The 23,391-nt window shown below is 40.3% G+C and overlaps 1 protein-coding gene across 6 annotated transcripts in view, besides 1 other annotated feature; it reads left to right on the top strand.

Moving 5' to 3' along the window:
• The window catches only part of MCOLN3 (mucolipin TRP cation channel 3), a 30,419-nt gene extending 27,667 nt beyond the window's left edge, over positions 1 to 2,752 (top strand). For all 6 annotated transcript variants that reach the window (NM_001253693.2, NM_018298.11, XM_005271003.2 and 3 more), the window contains one exon: positions 1,577 to 2,752. In NM_001253693.2, coding sequence (NP_001240622.1) covers positions 1,577 to 1,711 — 135 coding nt within the window. In that variant the 3' untranslated portion in view covers positions 1,712 to 2,752. The remainder of the gene's footprint in view (positions 1 to 1,576) is intronic.
• Positions 21,987 to 22,858: an enhancer, noted in NCBI's record as "H3K4me1 hESC enhancer chr1:85463659-85464530 (GRCh37/hg19 assembly coordinates)". NCBI's record gives its function as "activates a minimal SCP1, AML or CMV promoter by ChIP-STARR-seq in naive and primed H9 embryonic stem cells {active_cell/tissue: H9 hESC(naive and primed)}" and the evidence as "EXISTENCE:reporter gene assay evidence [ECO:0000049][PMID:30033119]".

The raw sequence follows: 23,391 nt of genomic DNA, 5'->3' as shown, positions 1-23,391 counted from the left end.
AATTATAAGGGTCATTAGAAGTCTGGGGGGCAAAGAGTAAAAAACTAAATAAAGAATTATAAGGGTTAGTAGATATTGTGTGAATAAAACATATGGCATTTCAGAAAGCCAAAATATTGTGGGGAACATAAAAACTCCAATTTTCATAAAGAAAAATTGACCCCTTTGTTTTGAGTGTACTGTAACTGAGCCCATTTTCTTTGCAAGGCCCTGCAGGGCACAAGCCCAGGGGCCCAGCCTCCAGAATAGCAAAAGGATTAATGGGTCCAGTACTAGCATGTAGCTTTATACAGTCAGATACCTGAACTGAAAAGCTATTGTCATTCATATAAAATCTTTTAAAAATCAATTTGAGCCTGTTGAAATATGGAAAGGCAGAATAAATATCCATATATGTTTCAATTTCCATAACTTATACTGTTAGGTGTATTTGTGGCATAGACACTTCCACTTGGGGACTTTTCTTTCTGGGTATGAGAGGGATAAAGAAACATGAAGCCATGTGATTGGCCCTAGGGATAAAGAGAACGCCTTGGTTTGAAGCTGATAATGATGAATACTTTGCTCATGAAGCCAGGGCTGTGACTTCATCCTCACTGAACAAGATTTCAGGGACCGAATGTCCTCTTTGCTCTCATCTGCTTAGCAGATGTGTCCTTAGGATCACCAAGGCAACTGGGAAAGAATGTAGTTGTAACTTCAGATCCCTCCAAATGGTGCTCTAAAAGTTCACTGCCTCCAACTCTGCATGCAGAGAACTGTGTGTTATTCGAGGGTGACATCTGAGAGCTCTAAGGATAACATGGGTTTTCACCTTTGATGACATAAGCCTGAAACTCGTATTTTAGACGCTAACCTCTTTCCGTGGGCTCAGAGCACTTGCCAAATGGGCAAGCTAAGTTACTTCTGATCCTTTCTAATCATGGCATGTCCTAGAAATTTTAGGTCCCAAACCGATATAAATATGAGGCCCTTAAACAAACTTGCCTGGCTGGAAGACTGACTCCAAAAGGGTGTGCAGATTGGAAAGGTCCCTTACAGCATTCAGACCTTTGTCCAGACACTTGGGCCAACTCGAGAGAGTCCAAGACTGTGCTGAGGTGTTCTGGGCAAGGCCAGGGATTTCCATCCCTTGGCCTACTAGAAAACCTTGTTAATTTAGATCCACTGGGCTTCTTGTGGCCTGAACCATGTTCCTTCAAAAATGCCTGCATCACACTGGTCTGGAAGTCACAGGCCTGCAGGGCAGAGTAGTGACAGAGGTTCTCGGACTTGGGATGGGGCTAGCTCAATTCTCCCTGGAAGGACGACTCAGACTTCGACTCAGTGTGCCCATTTGGGTTTCAGTGGACCCAGAAAGAGAGCTCAGGTAGGCAGCTGCAGAATCCCAGGCCCACTTTACCTCCGCCAAACCTGAGTGACTCTAGAGGCTACATCTCCTTTGCAGGTACTCAGGAGTAACGATACTATCTCTCTAGAAAACCCCCTCCCTTGCCAAATGATCCATTTTGAATTTGGAATGAAGCTGTTTTCAAGGAGCTTATTAATAAAAGCTTTTTAACATTCTTCTGTTTAGCAATACCAACAAGATGGCTTCCCAGAGACTGAACTTCGTACATTTATATCAGAATGCAAAGATCTACCCAACTCTGGAAAATACAGATTAGAAGATGACCCTCCAGTATCTTTATTCTGCTGTTGTAAAAAGTAGCTATCAGGTTTATCTGTACTTTAGAGGAAAATATAATGTGTAGCTGAGTTGGAACACTGTGGATATTCTGAGATCAGATGTAGTATGTTTGAAGACTGTTATTTTGAGCTAATTGAGACCTATAATTCACCAATAACTGTTTATATTTTTAAAAGCAATATTTAATGTCTTTGCAACTTTATGCTGGGATTGTTTTTAAAAAAACTTTAATGAGGAAAGCTATTGGATTATTATTATTTCTTGTTTATTTTGCCATGGCTTTAGAATGTATTCTGTATGCCTCTCTTTTGCTCTGATACTGTTGCTCCTGCTATTCTGATTGTGCAGACTGTGTAATTAGTGGAAAACAATCCTTGGTCTGACTGTGACTTTGGACAACTCAGTAACCCTGGCTTGGACCACTCTCAGGAGTCCATCCTTGAGAGAGTGGGTGTAGTTATCATTTATACAGTAATCATTGCATTTTAAAATCTTCTCTTGAAAGGAAGAATAAGAGTGCACCAGAATAAGAGCGCACCAGAATAAGAGCGCACCAGCTAACAATGTGATACGGCCATATGTCACTTAAGGATGGAGATATGTTCTGAGAAATGTGTCATTAGGCGATTTTGTCATTAAACATCATAGCATGTACTTCCACAAACCTAGATGGTATAGCCTACTACACACCTAGGCTATTTGGTATAGCCTGTTGGTCCTGGGGTACAAATCTGTACAACATGTTACTGTATTGAATACAGTAGGCAATTGTAACACAATGGTAAGTATCTAAACATAGAAAAGGGACAGTAAAAATATGGTTTTATAATCTTCTGGGACCACCATTGTATATGCGGTACATCATTGACCAAAACATCGTTATCCAGCATATGACTGTATTTGGTTATGAAAGCCAACTGTTACTTGATTCTGCTTTTAGTTCTTAAGAGGATCAGGCTTTTAAATACTCATTTACAAGTTTTCTATCCTCCTTCAGTGTTAAAGTAGAAAGTAAAAAGAGTATCTTATACATGCATGAAATTAAAGCATATACCAAATGCATTTTTGATGAAGTAATTATTATTTTATTAGTACTTGAGCAGCCTGTTAAAACTAGTGATGTACTATACCTTTCATAGGCACATTATGTCTCACAGCGAAGTGTTTTGGGGTGAGAGGCTGTGGTTTTATGGGGCAAGGTTCTATAACTCACATTAAAAATATTTCGGGGCTATGCACAGTGGCTCATGCCTGTAATACCTCACTTTGGGAGGCCAAGGCAGGAGGATTGCGAGAGCCCAGGAGTTTGAGACCAGCCTAGGCAACATAGTGAGACTCATATCTACAAAAAAAACAGAAAAAACTAACCGGGCGTGGTGGTACACGCCTATAGTCGCAGCTACTTGGGAGGCTAAGGCAGGAGGATTGCTTGAGCCCAGGAAGTCAACAGCAGTGAGCTGTGATCATGCCACTGCACTCTGGCCTGGGTGACAGAGTGAGACTCTGTCTCAAATATGTACACACATATATATATGTGAAAATAATTATGCTTAAAATTTTAAGATAAGATAAATGTGTGCTGTAAAAAGACATAATAGTCTCTACCCCTTATAGACTGCTAATTGAGAATTGCAGGGACTTTCAACACATGAATATTTATTGTGTTTACTATTTATTCAAATAGAAGTGAATTCAGTTATGTGCAGTAAAGATCTTCTCAAAGCAAACTTTTTTTAAAAAAACTGATTTTTAAATTTCTAATTTTGTTTTACTGAGATTTTTATTATTTAATTATAATGACAGTCATAATAATGACTCCAGGTGTTGAAATGGGAGGTTTTATAACAGGTATAAGCTGTTTCTGAAGTACCTGAGGCTTTAAAAAAAAAATCTAAATATCTAAGTGACTATTTTGGGGGCAGTTCTAATATTTATAATACTATCACTTTTAGAAATTACTAGAATTCTATGTGAGTTTTGAAATCATGTTTATTATCTGATAAGTCCTTTTCTTTACATCTTTTGAGATTTTTAGACTAACAGTACTTCAATGGAAACATGAAAACACTGACGCAGTGTTGGGCCTGGAGTTTTGCTTTGCTCTGAAGTCATTATATTTCTTCTGTAGAATCACAGCCAATGACTTGCTGCCTTCACATCTCTCTCCTATTTCTCCAGGCTCTCTTATTGTGGCAGGAGTCCCTGATAAATTCCAAGGCTTAATTTTTAGTAATGATGTCCATGAGAGAATAGCTCTTCTGTCTACTGAAAGAAATAGCACTGACTGACTTTTTTGAACTGTCCTCAAACCAGTACAATGGCTTGATCTGGGTAGGCAGATAAATTATGGGCCATTTTAGAGCTCTCCTTACATGTATATATGTATCATAGAGAATGTCAAGGCAGTTGTAAGAAAGAACATAGAATGGAAGTCACTTTTCTTCCAGGCTTCTAGTCTTCTTATCCCAGGAAATCAGGGCTGGATTTTTGTCGATGATACCCCCTTTTTCTGGAAGTCAGATTCTCTGTCCCCTCCTCCTGCCATAATGATTTTCAGGGTTGTAAGCATAAGGGGATTTTTTTTTTTTTTTCTTGAGATAGAGTCTTGCTGTGTTTCCCAGGCTGGAGGCTGGAGTATAGTGGAGCAATCTCACCTCACTTCAACCTCCGCCTCCCAGGTTCAAGCGATTCTTGTGCCTTAGCCTCCAGAGTAGCTGAAACTACAAGCACACACCACCATGCCTGGCTATTTTTTTTGTATTTTTAGTAGAGACAGGGTTTCGCTATGTGGGCCAGGCTGGTCTTGAACTCCTGTCCTCAAGTGATCTGCCCACATCAGCCTCCCAAAGTGCTGGAATTATAGGTGTGAGCCACCATGCCCGGCCCACTGGGGGATCTTGTTAAAATCATGAATGTACAGGTAATACCAGCAGAGATATTCATATTCTCTCTCTCTCCTCTTTCTTTCTTTCTTTCTCTCTTTTCTTTATCTTTCTCTTTCTCTTTTTGTCTTTCTCTTTATCAAAGCCTAAGCACAGATTCTTATTCATCATGTCCTGGGGGAGGCCAGGAATCTGCCATTTTTAGCCAGCACACAAAGTGATTCTGACACAAGTGGTTTGTGGTGGCTGCAGGGCCCAGAGCTCAACCAGGAACAGATAAATCCCTTTGTTGGGCTACAAATAAGTTGTTTATAAGTCTCAGTATTCAGAATGGTCTTCTATCACTCAAGAGAGAAACCACAGTAGTCAAGAGAGAAACACCAAGAAAATGGGCTTATAGATATCAACGTGGATATTTTAGTATTTGTGTCTGTAAAAATCATTTTTGTGCAGACATTGATTTTGCTGTTACATTTTTTTAAACAATTCAGATGCCATTTTCTTTTTTCACTCAATAAAGTTTTAAATTATCTAATACATATTGAGTTTTAATTTTTTTATCCCACCACACTATTTTCAAATTAAATTAATACATACAAATAGGTGTATGGATTAGAACAAAAAAGGTAAAACTCATTATTTGCAGATATTATAATCTACATAGAAAGTCTAATAGAATCTAAAAAACACATGGGTCAAAGAAGAAATATCCAGAGGCTGAGGCAGGAGGATCACTTGAGCCCAGGAAGTCGAGGCTGCAGTAAGCCATGATTGTGCCACTGCACTCTGGCCTGAGCAACAGAGTGAGACCTTGTCTCAAAAAAAGAAAGAAAGAAATCTTGAGAAATTAAAAATTATTTTGAACTAAATACAAATGCAAACACAAATGATCAAGAATTATGGGAAACAGTAAAAGCAGTGCCTAGAGGAAAATTTATAGCATTGAATGCATATATTAGAAAAGAAGAAAGATGTAAAAATCAATCTCCTAAGCTTCTACCTTAGAAAATGGACAAAGAAGAGCAAGTTAAATCCAAAGGAAGTAGAAAAAAATAAAAATTATAGCAGAAATTAATGAAATTGAAAACAGGAAATCAGTGGAGAAAATCAACAAAACCAAAAGCTGGTTCTTTGAAAAGACAGATAAAATCAGTAAGCCTATAGCCAAGCTAACTAAGAAAAAAGAGGGAAGATGCAAATGACTAATACTAGACATGAAAGAGGGAGCATCACTACCTATCCCATGGGCATTCAATGGATAATAAAAGAATATATGAACAAATCTATGCCTGCAAATTTGAAAACCTGGATGATATGGACCAATTCCTTCAAAGACACAATTGCCAATTGACAAAACTAACACAAGAATAAACAAACAATCTGAATAAGATTCTAGTAAATAAATGGAATCAATAATGAATAACCTTCCAAAACAGCACTGGGCCCAGATGGTTTTACGGGTGAATTCTACTAAACATTTAAGGAACAAATACCAATTCTGTATAATTTCTTCCAGAAGACAGAATTAGAATACATCCTAATCATTCTGTGAGACCAGCATTAACTTAATATCAAAACCAGAGAGAGATTATAAGAAAAGAAAACTAAAGATGTTGATCTCTTATGAACATAGATGCAAAAATCCTCAACAAAAATATTAGCAAATCAAATTCAACAATGTATGAAAAAAATTATATACTACAAGCAAGTGGGATTTATTCTAGGTAGCAAGGCTGATTCAACATTCAAACCTGAATTAATGTAATCCCTCACATCAACAGGCTGAAGAAAAAATATCACATGATCATGTCAATACATACACAAAAAGCATTTAAAAAAAATCTAACATCCATTCATGAAAAAGCCCTCAGCAAACTAGGAAAAAGGGGGAACATCTTCAACTTCATAAAGAACATCTACAAAAAAAACCTAGAGTTAACATCACACTTAATGATGAGAAACTTAGAAGTTTTTATGCTAAGATCAGCGACAAGGCAAGGATGTCCCCTCTTAACACTCCTTTTCAACATCATACTAGAAGTTCTAGCTAATGCAATAAAATACAAAAAGGAAATAAAAGGTGTTCAGGTTGGGAAAGAAGAAATAAAACTGTCTTTGAGATGACATGATTGTCTATGTAGGAAATCTGAGAGAATTAAAAACTCCTGGAACTAATAAGTATAACAAGATTATAGGATACAAGGTTAATACACAAAAGTCAATCACTTTCTTGTATATCAGCAATGAACAATTATAATTTGAAATTAAAAACACAATACCATTTGTAGAAATATCCCCCAAAATGAAACACTTGGCTATAAATCTAACAATATGTAGAAATTCTATATGAAGAAAACTGTAAAACTCTGATGAAAGAAATCAAAGAACTAAATAGGTGGAGAGATATTTCATGTTTATGAATAAGAAGGCTCAATATTGTCAAGATGTCAGTTCTTCCAAACTTGATCTATAAATCAACACGACCCCCATGAAGACCCAAGGGAGTTATTCTGTGGATATAAAAAAACTGATTTTAAAGTTTATATGGAGAGTCAAAAGACCAGAATAGACAACACAATTTTGAAGGAGAGGAACAAAACAAAAAACAAACAAAAAAACCAAAAAAACACTGCCTGATGTGAAGACTTACTATAAAACTACAGTAATCGGCTGGGCACAGTGGCTCACGCCTGTAATCCCAGGACTTTGGGAGGCCGAGGTGGGTGGATCACCTGAGGTCAGGAGTTCGAGACCAACCTGGCCAACATGGTGAAACCCATAACCCATTTTGTCTCTACTAAAAATACAAAAAAAATTAGCTGGGCATGGTGGCAGGTGCTTATAATCCCAGCTACTCGGGAGGCTGAGACAGGAGAATCACTTGAACCTGGGAGGCAGAGGTTGCAGTGAGCTGAGATCGTGCCATTGCTCTCCAGTCTAGGTGACAAGAGTGAAACTCCATCTCAAAAAAACAAACAAACAAACAACTACACTAATCAAGGTATTGGTGAAAGAATAGATAAGAAGATCAATGCAACAGAATAGAGAACCCAGGGGCCAGCGCAGTGGCCCATGCCTGTAATCCCAACACTTTGGGATGCCAAGGTGGGTGGATTGCTTTGAGCCCAGGAGTTTGAGACCAGTCTGGGCAACATGGCAAAACCTCATCTCTATAAAAAATACAAAAATTAGCCGGGTGTGGTGGTGTGTGCTTGTAGTCCCAGCTACTTGAGAGGTTGAGGTGGGAGGGTTGCTTGAGCCCAGGAGATCCAGGCTGCAGTGAGTCGAGGTCATGCCACTGCACTCCAGCCTCCAGCCTGGGCATCAGAGTGAGATCCTGTTTTTAAAACAAGAATAGAGGGCCCAGAAATATACCCACATTAATATAGTCCACTGATCTTTGACAAAGGAGTAAAGAGAATACAATGGAGAAGATAGTCTGTTTAATAAATAGTATGGTAATAACTGGACATCCACACGTAAAAACACGAACCTAGACACAGACCTTTCACTCTTTACAAATATTAAGTCAAAATAAATCATAGATGTAAATGAAAGTTGGAAAGTAAAAACTCCTAGATAATAACACAGGAGGAAATCTATATGACCTTGGGTTTGGCAATTACCTTTTTTTTCTTTTTCTTTTTTTTTTGAGACGGAGTCTTGCTCTGTCACCCAGGCTGGAGTGCAGTGGCGCAATCTTGGTTCACTGCAAGCTCTGCCTCCCGGATTCATGCCATTCTCCTGCCTCAGCCTCCCGAGTAGCTGGGACTACAGGTGCCTGTCACCACGCCCAGCTAATTTTTTTTTTTTTGTATTTTTAGTAGAGACAGGGTTTCACCGTGTTAGCCAGGATGGTCTTGATCTCCTGACCTCGTGATCTGTCTGCCTTGGCCTCCCAAAGTGCTGGGATTACAGGCATGAGCCACCGCGCCCAGCCCCCACCTTTTTTTTTTTCTTAAAAACAGTTTATTCAAGCCACTATTTGAATATTTCTTTTTTTTCACCTTTTAATATTTCAATAGGCTTTTGGGGAACAGATAGTGTTTGGTTACATGGATAATTTCTTTAGTGGTGATTTCTGAGATTGGGTGCACCCACCACTCGAGCAGTGTACACTGTACCCAATGTGTAGTCTTTCATCCCTCACCACCTCCCACCCTTTCTCCTGAGTCCCCAAACCCATTGTATCATTCTTATGCCTTTGTGCCCTCATAGCTTAGCTCCCACTTATGAGAGAGAACATACAACGTTCTGTTTTCCATTCCTGAGTTACTTCACTTAGAATAATGGTCTCCAACTCCATCCAGGTTGCTGGAAATGCCATTATTTCTTTCCTTTTTATGGCTGAGTAGTATTCTATTGTATATATATCACATTTTTTTATCCACTCGTTGATTGATGGGCATTTGAGCTGGTTCCATATTTTTGCAATTGTGAATTGTTCTGCTATAAACATGCATGTACAAGTGCCTTTTTCGTATAATGACTTCTTTTCCTCTGGTTAGATACCCAGTAATGGGATTGCTGAATCAAATGGTAGATCTACTTTTAGTTCTTTAAGGAATTCAGACTGGGTGCAGTGACTCACACACTTTGGGAGGCTGAGGTGGGTGGATCACTTGAGGTCAGGAGTTCAAGACCAGCCTGGTCAAAATGGCAGAACCCCATCTCTACTAAAAATACAAAAAAAAAAAAAAAATAGCGGGGCATGGTGGCATGTGCCTGTAAATCCAGCTACTTGGGAGGCTGAGGTGGAAGAATAGCTTGAAACTGGGAAGCAGAGGTTGCAGTGAGCTGAGATCACACTACTGCACTGCAGCCTGGGTGGCAGAGCAAGACCCTGTCTCAGAAAAGAAAAAAAAAAAAAAAAAAGGAATCCCCATACTGTTTTTCCATAGTGGTTGTACTAGTTTACATTCAGCACCAGCAGTGTAAAAGTGTTCCCTTTTCACCAAATCCACGCCAACATCTATTATTTTTTTATTATGGCCATTTTTGCAGGAATAAGGTGGTATTGCATTGTGGTTTTGATTTGTATTTCCCTAATCATTCGTGATGTTCAGCATTTTTTCATATGTTTGTTGGCCATTTGTATATCTTCTTTTGAGAATTGTCTGTTCATGTCCTTAGCCCAATTTTTGACAGGATTATTTGTTTTCTTCTTGCTGATCTGTTTGAGTTTCTTGTAGAGTCTGGGTATTAGTCCTTTGTCAGATGCACAGATTGCAAAGATTTTCTCCCACTCTGTGGGTTGTCTGTTTGCTCTGCTGATTGTTTCTTTCACTGTGCAGAAACTTTTTAGTTTAATTAAGTCCCATCTATTTATCTTTGTTTTTGTTGCTTTTGTTTTGGGTTCTTGGTCATGAAGTCTTTGCCTAAGCCAATGTCTAGTAGCATTTTTCCAATGTTATCTTCTGTAATTTTTACGGTTTCAAGTCTTAGATTTAAGCCTTTGATCCACCTTGAGTTGATTTTTTGTATAAGGTGAGAGATGAGAATCCAGTTTCATTCTTTTACATGTGGCTTGCCAATTATCCCAGCACTATTTGTTGAGTAGAGTATTCTTTCCTCACTTTATGGTTTTGTTTGCTTTGTTGAAGATCAGCTGGCTATAACTATTTGGCTTTATTTCGGGGTTCTCTATTCTGTTCCATTAGTCTATGTACCTATTTTTATACCAGTACCATGTTGTTTTGGTGACTATAGCCTTATAGTATAGTTTGAAGTCGGGTAATAAGATGCTTTCAGATTTGTTCTTTTTGCTTAGTCTTGCTTTGGCTATGTAGGATCTTTTTTGGTTCCATATTAATTTTAGGATTTTTTTTCTAGTTCTGTGAAGAATGATGCTGGTATTTTGACGGGAATAACATTGAATCTGTAGATTGCTTTTGGCAGTATGGTCATTTTCACAATATTGATTCTACCCATCCATGAGCATGGGATGTGGTTCCATTTGTTTGTGTCATCTATGATTTCTTTCAGCAGTGTTTTGTAGTTTTCCTTGTAGAGGTCTTTCACCTTCTTGGTTAAGTATATTCCTAATTTTAAAAAATTTTTTGCAGCTATTGTAAAAGAGGTTGAGTTCTTGATTTGATTCTCAGCATGGTCACTGTTGTATAGCAGGGCTACTGATTTGTGTACATTGATTTTGTATCCTGAAACTTTACTGAATTCATTTATTAGATCTTGGAGCTTTTTGGATGAGTCTTTAGGGTTTTCTAAGTATATGATCATATCATCAGTGAACAGTGACAGTTTGACTTCCTCTTTACCGATTTGGATGCCCTTTATTTCTTTCTCTTGTCTGACTGCTCTGGTCAGGAATTCCAGAACTATGTTGAATAGAAATGGTGAAAGTGGGCATCCTTGTATTGCTCCAGTTCTGTCAACTTTCCCCATTCAGTATAATGTTGGCTGTGGGTTTGTCATACATGGTTTTTATAAGCTTAAGGTTTGTCCCTTGTATGCTGATTCTGCTGAGGGTTTTAATCCTAAAGGGATGCTGGATTTTGTCAAATGCTTTTTCTTTATCTATTGAGATGATCATTTGATTTTTGTTTTTAATTCTGTTTATGTGGTGTATCACATTTATTGACTTGCGTATGTTAAACCATCCCTGCATCCCTGGTATGAAACCCACTTGATGATGGTGGATTATATTTTGATATGCTATTTGATATGGTTTAACTGTGTCCCCAACCAAATCTCATCTTGAATTCCCATGTGTTGTGGGAGGGACCTGGTTGGGGGTAGTTGAATCATGGGGGCAGGTCTTTCCCATGCTGTTCTGGTGATAGTAAATAAGTCTCATGAGGTCGGACACATTTATAAGGGGAAGTTTCCCTGCACAAGCTGTCTCTGTGCCTGGTGCCATCCATGTAAGATGGGACTTGCTTCTCCTTGCCTTCTGCCATGATTTTAAGGCTTCCCCAGCCACATGGAACTGTAAGTCCATTAAACCTCTTTTTTTTTTTTTTTTTTTTGAGACAGAGTTTCACTCTTGTCACTCAGGCTGGAATGCAGTGATCTTGGCTCACCACAACCTCTGCCTCCTGGGTTCAAGTGATTCTCCTGCTTCAGCCTCCCAGGTAGCTGGGGTTACAGGCACCCACCACTATGCCTGGCTAATTTTTTGTATTTTTTCTTTATAGTAGAGATGGGGTTTCACCATGTTGGCCAGGCTGGTCTAAAACTCCTAACCTCAGGTGATCCACCTGCCTTGGCCTCCAAAAGTGTTGGAATTACAGGCGTGAGCCACTATGTCTGGCCCATTAAACCTCTTCCTTTTGTAAATTGCCCAGTCTCAGTTATGTCTTTGTCAGCAGCATGAAAACAGACTAATACAGTAAATTGGTACCAGTAGAGTGGGACACCGATGAACAGATACCAGAAAATGTGGAAGCAACTTTGGAACTGGATAACAGGCAGAGGCTGGAACAGTTTGGAGGGCTAAGAAGAAGACAAGAAAATATGGGAAAGTTTGGAACTCCCTAGAGACTTGTTGAATGGTTTTGACCAAAATGCTGATAATGATATGAACAATGAAATCCAGGCTGAGGTGATCTCAGAGGGAGATGAGGAACTTGTTGGGAACTGGAGCAAAGGTGACTCTTGTTATGTTTTAGCAAAGAGACTGGTGGCATTTTGCCCTGCACTAGAGGTTTGTGAAACTTTGAACTTGAGAGAGATGATTTAGGGTATCTAGTGGAAGGAATTTCTAAGCAGCAAAGCATTCAAGAGGTGACCTGGGTGCTGTTAAAGGCATTCAGTTTTTATAGGGAAACAGACATAAAAGTTTGGAAAATGTGCAGCCTGACAACGTGATAGAAAAGAAAATCCCATTTTCTGAGGAGAAATTCAATCTGGCTGCAGAAATTTGCATAAGTAACAAGGAGCCAAATATCAATCCCCAAGACAATGGGGAAAATGTCTCCAGGGCAAGTCAGAGGCCTTTGAGGCAGCCCCTCCCATCACAGGCCCGGAGACCTAGGGGAAAAAGTGGTTTTGTGGGCTGGGCCCAGGGTTCCTCTGCTGTGTGCAGTCTAGAGACTTGGTGTCCTGCATCCCAGCTGCTCTAGCATGGTTTAAAGGGGCCAAGAAACAGTTCGGGCTGTTGCTTCAGAGGGTGGAAGCCCCAAGTCTTGGCAGCTTCCACATGCTATTCAGCCTGCGGGTGCACAGAAGTTAAGAATTGAGGCTTGGGAACCTCCGTCTAGATTTCAGAGGATGTATGGAAATGCCTGGATGCCAGGCAGATCTTTGCTGCCAGGATGGGGCCCTCATGGAGAATCTCTGTGAGGGCAGTGTGGAAGGGAAGTGTGGCGTCGGAAACCCCACACAGAGTCCCTACTGGGGCACCTCCTAATGGAGCTGTGAGAAGAGGGCCATCATCCTCCAGACCCCAGAATGGTAGATCCACTGACAGCTTGCACCGTGTACCTGGAAAAGCCACAGACACTCAACGCCAGCCTGTGAAAGCAGCTGGGAGGGAGGCTGTACCCTGCAAAGCCACAGGGGCAGAGCTGCCCAAGACCATGGGAACCCACCTCTTGCATCAGTGTGACCTGGATGTGAGACATGGAGTCAGAGGAGATCATTTTTGAGCTTTAAGATTTGACTGCCCACTGGACTTGAATGGGGCCTGTAGCCCCTTTGTTTTGGCCAATTTCTCCCATTTGGAATGGCTGTATTTACCCAATGCCTGTACCCCCACCATATCTAGGAAATATCTACTTTGCCTTCGATTTTACAGGCTCATAGACGAAAGGGACTTGCGTTGTCTCAGATGAGACTTTGGACTATGGACTTTTGAGTAAATGCTGAAATGAGTTAAGACTTTAGGGGACTGTTGGAAAGGCATGACTGGTTTTGAAATGTGAGGACATGAGATTTGTGAGGGACCAGGGGTGGAATGATATGGTTTGGCTGTGTCCCCACCCAAATCTCATCTTGAATTCCCAGGTGTTGTGGGAGGGTCCCAGTGGGGGACAGTTGAATCACGGCGCAGGTCTTTCCCATGTTCTTCTCATGATAGTGAATAAGTCTCACTAGATCTGATGGTTTTATAATGGAGAGTTTCCCTGCAGAAGCTCTCTCTTTTCCTGCTGCCATCCATGTAAGATATGACTTGTTCCTCCTTGCCTTCTGCCACGATTGTGAGGCTTCCCCAACCACATGGAACTGTAAGCGCACTGAACCTTGTTCTTTTGTAAATTGCCCAGTCTCGGTTATGTCTTTATCAGCAGTGTGAAAATGGACTAATACACTGCTAGATTCAGTTAGTATTTTGAGGATTTTTACATCTATGTTCATCAGGGATGCTGGTCTGTAGTTTCCTTTTTTTGCTATGTCCTTTCTTGGTTTTGGTATTAGGATGATACTTGCTTCATAGAATAATTAGGGAGGATTTCCTCTCTCTATTTTTTGAAATAGTTTAAATAAGATTGATATAAATTCTTCGAATATCTGATAGAATTCAGCTGTGAATCCATTTGGTCCTTGACTTTTTTTTGTTGGCAATTTTAAAATTACCATTTCAATCTCGCTGTCTGTATTGATCTTTTCAGTTTCTATTTCTTCCTGGTTTAATCTAGGATGGTTTTGTATGTTTGTATATGTGTATATGTGTGTGTGTGTGTATATATATGTATATGTACATATACACATATACATACATATACATACACATACATATATGTATGTATATGTACATATGCATATATACACACACATATATGTATGTATATGTACATATGCATATACACACACACACACATATAAAATATATATATTATATATATATATATATATATTTTTTTTTTTTTTTCTTTGAGGCAGAGTCTCACTCTGTTGCCCAGGCTGGAGTGCAGTGGCATGATCTTGGTTCACTGCAACCTCTGCCTCCCGGATTCAAGCAATTCTCCTGCCTCAGCCTCCTGAGTAGCTAGGATTACAGGTGCACACCACGATGCCCAGCTAATTTTTGTATTTTTAGTAGAGATGAGATTTCACTATGTTGGTTATGCTGGTCTTGAACTCCTGACCTCAAGTGATCCACCCGCATTGGCCTCTCAAAGTGCAGGGATTACAGGCATAAGCCACTGTGCCTGGCCCTTCTAGGAGGGTTGTATATTTCTAGGAATTTATCCATCTCCTCTAGGTTTTCTAGTTTGTGCCTTGAATGTTCTTTTGTACTTCTGTGGTATCAGTTGTAATATCTTCCATTTCATTTCTAATTGAGCTTATTTGAATCTTCTCTCTTCTTTTCTTGGTTAATCTCACTAATGGTCTATCAATTTTATCTTTTGAAAGAATCAGCTTTTTGTTTCATTTACCTTTTGTATTTTTTTTTTGTTTCAATTTCATCTAGTTCTGCTCTGATCTTTGTTATTTCCTTTCCTCTGCTGGGTTTGGGTTTGGTTTGTTCTTGTTTCTCTACTTCCTTGAGGTGAGACCTTAGATCGTCTGTGTTTTTTCAGACTTCTTGATTTAGGCATTTAATGCTATGAACTTTCCTCTTAGCACTGCTTTTGCTGTATCCCAGAGGTTTTGATAGGTTGTGTCACTATTATTGCTCAGTTCAAATAATATTTTAATTTCCACCTTGATTTCAACTCAACAATCATTTAGGCACAGATTATATAATTTCCATGTATTTGCATGGTTTTGTGAGTTCCTTTTGGAGTTGATTTCCAATTTTATTCCAATGTGGTCTGAGAGGGTACGTGATAGAATTTTGATTTTCTTAAATTTATTGAGACTTGTTTTGTGGTCTATCATATGGTCTATCTTGGAGAATGTTCCATATGCTGATGAAAATGTATATTCTGCAATTGTTGGGTAGAATGTTTTGTAATATCTGTTAAGTCCATTTGTTCTAGGGTATAGTTTACATCCATTTTTTCTTTGTTGGCTTTCTGTCTTAATGATCTGCCTAGTGCTGTGAGTGGAGTATTGAAGTCCCCCACTATTATTGTGTTGCTGTCTATCTCATTTCTTAGGTCCAGTAGTAATTGTTTTATAAATTTGGGAGCTCCAGCATTAGGTGCATACATATTTAGGATTGTGACATTTTCCCGTTGGACTAGACCTTTTATCATTATATAATATCCCTCTTTTTTAAGTGTTGTTGCTTTAAAGTCTGTTTTGTCTGATATAAGAATAACTAGTCCTGCTTACTTTTGGTTTCCATTTGCATGATATATCCTTTTCTACCCCTTTACCTTAAGTTTATGTGAGTCCTTATGTGTTAGGTGAATCTCTTGAAGACAGCAGATACTTGGTTGGTGAATTCTTATCCATTCAGCCATTCTGTATCTTTTAAGCGGAGTGGTTAGGCCATTTACAGTCAACGTTATTGAAATGTGAGGTACTATTCTATTCATCGTGCTAGTTGTTGCCTAAATACCTTTTCTTTTCATTGTGTTATTGTTTTATAGGTCTTTTGAGATTTATGCTTTAAGGAGATTCTATTTTGGTGTATTCTGAGGTTTTGCTTCAAGATTTAGAACTTCTTTTAGCAGTTCTTGGAGTGCTGACTTGGTAGTGGTTAATTCTCTCAGCATTTGTTTGTCTGACAAAGACTTTATGTTTCCTTCATTTATGAAGCTTAGTTTTGCTGGATACAAAATTCTTGGCTGATAATTGTTTTGTTAGAGGAGGCTAAAAATAGGACCCCAATCCCTTCTAACTTGTAGGGTTTCTGCTAAGAAATCTGGGGTTAATCTAACATGTTTTCCTTTATAGGTTTCTTGATGCTTTTGCCTCATAGCTCTTAAGATTCCTTCATTCATCCTGACTTTCAATAACCTGATGACTATGTGCCTAGTTGATGATCTTTTTGTGATGAATTTCTCGGGTGTTCTTTGAGCTTCTTGTATTTGGATGTCTAGATCTCTAGCAAGGCCAGGAAAGTTTCCCTTAATTATTGCCTCGAATCTTCTTTCTCAGAAACACCAATTATTCTTAGGTTTGGTTGTTTAACATAATCCCAAACTTCTTGGAGGCTTTGTTCATTTTTTAATTATTTTTTCTTTGTCTTTGTCAGATTGGGTTAATTCAAAAGCCTTGTTTTCAAGCTCTGAAGTTCTTTCTTCTATGTATTTGATTCTATTTTTGAAACTTTCCAGGTAGCTTGCATTTCTCTAAGTCTGTCTTTCATTTCCAGAAGTTGATTGTATTTTATTTGTGTTATTTTTCTGGAGATTTTTTGTCCATATCCTGTATGATTGTTTAAATTTCTTTAAATTGGCTTTCACATTTTTCTGGTGCCTCCTTGAGTAGCTTAACAATTGACCTTCTGAATTCTTTCTTTGGAAATTCAGAGATCTCTTCTTGGTTTGGATCCATTGCTGGTGAGCTAGTGTGATCTTTTGAGAGTGTTGAAGAACCTTGCTTTGTCATGTTACCAGAATTGTTTTTCTGGTTCCTTCTCATTTGGGTAGACTATGTCAGAAGAAAGATCTGGGACTCAAGGGCTGCTGTTCAGATTATTTTGTGCCATGGGGTGATCCCTTGATGTGGTACTCTCACCCTTCCTCTAGGGATGGGGCTTCCTGAGAGCTAGACAGTGATTGTTATTGCTGTTGTGGGTCTAGCCACCTAATGGAGCTTGGGCTCCGGGCTGGTACTGGGGAGTGTCTGCAAAGAGTCCTGTGATGTGATCTGTCTTCAGGTCTCTCAGCCATGGATACCAGCACTTGCTCCAGTAGAGGTAGCATATGAGTGAAGTGGACTCTGTGAGGGTCCTTGGTTGTAGTTTTGTTTAGTACACTGGTTTTCTCAAATGCTTTCTCTTGTCTTTTCTTATATGGGTGCTAGGGCACTAATTGCCCCAGGCTACAAGCCTCTCCACTGAAAAAGCCAGCAGGGCTTTCAGGCCCTACCTCTCCCAGCTTGCCACTGCTTCTGTGGTCCTATCTGCACTTCCCGTCCATCTCCCACTCCTGGATTCTGCCTAGGAAAATTCACACTTGGTCAAAATTATTACAAAGCTCAACTGGAAGTTTCCTTCTCCCTATGGTCCTTCCCCAATTCCATTGGCAGCCCTCCCCAAGGACCCCAGTGAGATAAAGTCAGAAATGGCTTCCCTGGTGACTGGGAGCACCTAGAGGGCTCTTCCCAGTGCTGCTTCTACTTTTATATTTTTCTCAGCTCTCTAAATTCATTTCAGCTCTAGGTAAGGTTAAATCCTTCTCCCGTGATCTGGATTTTCAGGTTCCCCAGTGAGGATGTGTGTTCGGAGGTAGGCTTTCCCCCTTCACATTTTGGGCACTCACAATTTTTCAGCTGCCTCACAGAGTTTGCAGCCACAAGCCACTTTTTCAAAGAGTCTGTGAATCCTTTCAGTGTTCCTGGTATGTTCCTGTGGTAGTTCTTGGAGCAAAAGCTCATGATGTCAGTCTCCACATGCTGTTCTGTTCATCTGAGTGGGAGATGCAAGTTAGTCCTGCCTCCTATCTGCCATTTTTTTTTCCTGGAGGCTGACTTTTTAAATACAACACTGAAAGCATGATCCATGAAATAAATAATTGATAAATTAGTCTTTATTATAATTAAAAACTTCTACTCTATGAAAGATATCATCAAGAGAAAGAGAAGACAAGCTGCAAACTAGGAGAAAAATACTTGCAAGAGACTTATCTGAAAAAAGTATTGTTATTCAAAATATATAAAAAATTCATATATTTTTCTTTTTGAGATGAGGTTTTTGTTCTATTGCTCAGGCTGGACTGCAGCCTTGAACTCCTAGGTTCAAGCAATCCTCCTGCCTCAGCCTCCCGAGTAGCTAGGACCACAGGTGCATACCACCAAACCCAGCTAATTAAAAAAAAATTTCTTTCATAGAGACAGGATCTCTCTTTTTTGCCCAGGCTGGTGTTGAACTCCTGGCCTCAAGCAATCCTCCCACCTCAGCCTCCCAAACTGTTGAGATTACTGGCATGAGCCACTGTGCCCAGCCTAAAGAACTCTTAAAACTCAACAATAGGAAAATAAACAATCCCATTAAAAATTAAGCAAAAGACCTGAAGAGATACCTCAGTAAAGAAGACATACAGATGAAAAATAAGTATATGAAAACATACTCAACATCATACGTCATTAGGGAATTGCAAATTAAAACAAGATACCACTACACACCTATTAGAATGGCCAAAACACTGAAAATTCCAAATACTGGCAAGTATGTGGAGCAATAGGAACTCTCATTCATTGCTGGTGCAAATGTAAAATAATACAGCCACTTTGGAAGATAGGCAGTTTCTTACAAAGCTATGCTTTTACCATACAATCCAGCTATTGTACTCCTTGGTATTTAAAAAAAGGAACTGAAAACTTGTGTTCATAAAAACCTGCACACAGATGTTGATAACAGCTTTATCTGTAATTGCCAAAACTTGGAAAAAAACAAAATGTCCTTTAGTAGGTGAATGAACAAATATACTGTGATGTATTAATTCAATGGAACATTATTCAGTGCTGAAAAGAATTGAGCTATCAAGCCATGTGAAGACAAAGAAGAAGCTTAAATGCAAAAATGCCAAATGCTTAAATGAAAAAAGTCAATCTGAAAAGGCTAATACCATATGATTCCAACTATCTGAAAAGGAAAAACTATTGTGAAAGTAAAAAGATGAGTGGTTGCCAGGGGTTGGAGGGAGGGATGAATAGAAGGAGCACAGAGGATTATTAGGGTAGTGTTTTAATCAGTTTGTGCTGCTATTACAGAATACTACAGACCGGGTGGCTTAAACAACAGAAATTGATTTCTCATAGTTCTAGAGGCCACAGAATCCAAGATCAAGGTGCTAGCACACCTGGTGTCTGCTGAGGGTGCTCTTCCTGGTTTGCAGACAGCCATCATCTTGTTATATCCTCATATGGTGGAGAAAGAGATATATCTCTCTCCTGTTTTTTCTTATATGGTTACTAGGGCACTAATTGCATTCACGAGGGTTCGACCCTCAAGACCTAATTACCTCCCAAATGCCCCGTCTCCAAATGTCATCACATTGGGGATTTAGGTTGCAACATATAAATTTTGGTGGGGGAGGGGGATTGGTAAAGTGGGGACAAACATTCAGTCCACAGCAGGCAGTGAAACTATTCTGTATGATACTATAGTGGTAGATACATGTCATTATACATTTGTCAAAACTTAGAGCCTGCACACAAGTGAACCCTAAAGTATGGACTTTGAGTGATAATTTGTCAATGTATATTCATTGATTATAACAAATGTACTACTCTGGTGTAGGATGTTAATAGTGTGGGAGAGGCTATGCGTATGTGGGAGCAGGGAATATATAGGAACTTTGTACTTTCTGTTAAATTTTGCAATAAACCTAAAACTGCTCTAAAAAGAGTCTATTTTTAAAAAATTAAAATAAGAATAAATATTTTGTAATACATGGAACACAGCCACTCTCTTTTTTACATATTGTGTATGATTATCTTTACACTAGATAGTTAAATATTTGTAAAGGAGAAAGTACAATCCGCAAAGCCTACATATTTGTATCTGACCTTTTACAGAAAAAAAATTAGCCAACCCTGAATTATAAGATAGCTTGTTGGAAACTGGCTTACTTGATGTCGAAAAATCAAGGTGCATTAATATCTCCCACCACATGCAAAGTTGAAGTACAATGGAATTTGATATGAAGGATAAAACTATTACAGAAAATGCAGAAGAATGGTGAATTAAGGGTAGAGAACAACTTCTTTAAAAAGATCATAAAAGCACAAACTATAAGGATTAATATCCTTAATTTTGATTTCCTATACCAAAATTAAAGACTTTCATCCAAGGAAGAACACCATGGACAAAAAGATAGATGACGACTGGAAGAAAATACTTATAATGTTTAGAACTGGCAAGGAATTAATATCTACAATATACAGAACACTACTTGCACATCAAAAAATTTTTGAAAGAATGTGAAAGTAAATAAAGAGCATCGTTTTTCTCTTATTTTATTCTATTCTCCCTCCCCATATTCTTCACAATAAATATTTTTTGTCTGCCCAACCTAGAAAATTTAAATTGTTGCATTTCTACTAGCCTGACTCACATTTTCTTTTCTTTTCTTTTTTTCTTTTCCTTTTCTTAGACTCGGTCTCTGTTGCCCAGGCTGGAGTGCAGTGGCACAATCTTGGCTCACTGCAACCTCGACCTCCCAGGCTCAGGCAAGCCTTCCACCTCAGCCTCCCAAGCAAGCTGGAACCACAGGCGTGGGCCACTATGTCCAGCTAATTTTTGTATTTTTGGTAGAGACAGGGTATCGCTATGTTGCCCATGCTATTCTTGCACTCCTGGGCTCCAGCAATCCACCCTCCTTGGCCTCCCAAAGTGCTGGGATTACAGGTGCAAGCCACTGTGTCCGGCCTATCTCACATTTTTTAGACTACTTTCTAAAATTTCCCTTTTAACACTAAATCAGTGAAACTTCCACATGAAGACAAACTGCTAGAGAAATTTAAGAACTTTAGGTTGTAAAATTAAAATGTCATATTATAAAACACTGTTGAGCAAAAGATTCTTGTGTTATTTGGTTATTGGTCATTACAAATTTGAGTCAGGACACAAAGCTTTTTGTGCTATGATATTCAGAACAGAACACAAATGCTTGAAAGGATTAACATAGCACAAAACAATGTCTATTACTACACACTGAAAAATGAGCCATGATCTTTACCACAAACAAGTGACTTTTTGAAAGTTAAAAACTTAATGCCTACTGAGAATTAAATTTACTAATTGAGAATGATTAGATTCAATGGCTGAAAACTTTAGTATGTGTTATATTTATAATAAATCCTTCAGCCATCTGACTCCAGTAATTTTCCACTCTTACTCTTCTCCCCCCTTAATTCCCGCACACACTCAGATTAAATATTTCTTAGAACCTTGCTACTTACAGAGTGGGACCAGCAGCAGCAGCAGCAGCAGGAGCATCTTCTTGCTAGAAATGCAAAACCTCAGGTCCTACTGAATCAGTCTGCTTCAATAAAAACTCTGGTGACTCATATGCACATTAATGTTTGAGATCCTCAGATCTCCCTTTTGAAACTATTTCTCCGTCTGCAGGGGTCCCCAAACCCCGGGCTCCAGACTGGTACAGGTCTGTGGCCTGTTAAGAACCAAGCCGCGCTGCAGGAAGTGAACATTGAGCAAGAGAGCAGCGGTTCCACTCGATTCTCATAGGGGCAGAAGCCCTACTGTGAACTGCGCATGCGATGGATCTAAGTTGCAGGTTGTGTGCTCCTTATAAGACTCTAATGCCTACTGATCTAAGGTGCAACAGTTTCATCCCGAAAACATCCTCCCCTCATCCCCCCACCTGTCCGTGGAAAATATCATCTTCCATGGAACCAGTCCCTGGTGCCAAAAGGTTGGGGTCTTACTATGTTGCCCAGGCTGGAGTGCAGTTACTATTCACAAAGCTGGATGATTGCGCACCTCCGATGAAAGGGGCTCAAAACCAAGGCATTTCTGCCTAATAACCCCTTGGAAGTGCCTTAAAAGAGGGTCAATTATGTGTGCTTTTATATACATCGTCTGTCCAACTGCTTCTGCCTGGACACGCATATTAAAATAATTACCTGGCAGAATATTCTTTGCCTGAGCTAAACCCGGAGATCTTTTAAACGCTTGCAGACTCACAGAGCCTGGCACTGCGGACTTTGCTGCTGCTACCTCGTGAAAAGGAGGGGTACGAGCTCTAGGAGGCTGTCGGCCACGTCCAAACTACCAAGCTAACATCACTAGGAGCCGAACACGGCTTTTGGTCATGTACTGACGACTCTCATCTCTAAGATTCACGAACGGCGACCGATTGTCTGTTCGATTTCCCACAGGCGTCTTCCTTTCGTGCACCAAGAGGGAAAAGCAACGGCGGCTGCAGCAGGGCGCTGGGGTTACGAGTCCAGCCCTGGGGCCGTGCGCCCTCCCTCCGCGCCCGCCGGGCCACGCTGACGCTCCCTCCCGGCTCCCTGCCTTTCATCCCGACGCGGGCGCAGGGCAACTCGCTTTTCCTATTCCTTGCGCGCCGGTCGCACTTTCTAACATCTCAGAAATATGGCCCTTGTCACAGACTTTCATGATCGTGCACTTTAGAGAAAAGCCAGAATGAATGAACTTGTCAGTTTAATGTGAAGTCCTCAAGGGAAAGGACCATGTCTTTGTCATCCCAGAGACCACAGTACCCAACGGTCGGCTTGGCTCTCAGTGAGTGTTTCCCTAAGCATCAAAACAGGAATGACCAAAGCAACGGACAAATTAATGCATGTGGAAACAAGAAATGAATGCATGAGAGAGTGAAGAAAAGAAGGGGCCAGGCGCAGCGGCTTACACCTGTAATCCTAGCACTTTGGGAGGCGGAGGCAGGAGAATCGCTTGGGTCCAGGAGTTCAAGACTGCAGTCAGCAGTGATCGCAGGTCAGGCGACAGAGTGAGACCCGGTCTCACCACCACCCCCCCGAAAAAGGCAGGAACCCCAGAGGGCCGGGAGTGCCAGGTGCGGCCGCCCGGGAGCGGTGTGGAGGGTGCGTGGGCCACTTTGCCGCAGGGCCCACCGCCCGGGTCCCTCTGTAAGGCGCTTCTCCGGCAGACACCCCGAGCCAAAGCGGGCCGTACCGCAGCGTTGGGCACTTGGGTGGAGAGTGCAAGGGCGGCGGGCCTGCGCCCAGACAGGTGTAGCCGTCCCACGCTAGGTGTCCTCCTGCCGCTCCCTGGCCGCGCCATGCCTCGAGGCATGGAGGTGCTGGACCTGCCGGTGTGCAACCGCGCCTCGGGCCTGTCCTGGGGGCCGCACC

Source organism: Homo sapiens, chromosome 1 (assembly GCF_000001405.40).
Source record: "Homo sapiens chromosome 1, GRCh38.p14 Primary Assembly".
NCBI lineage: Eukaryota > Metazoa > Chordata > Mammalia > Primates > Hominidae > Homo > Homo sapiens.
This window is presented reverse-complemented; position numbering and strand designations above follow the sequence as displayed.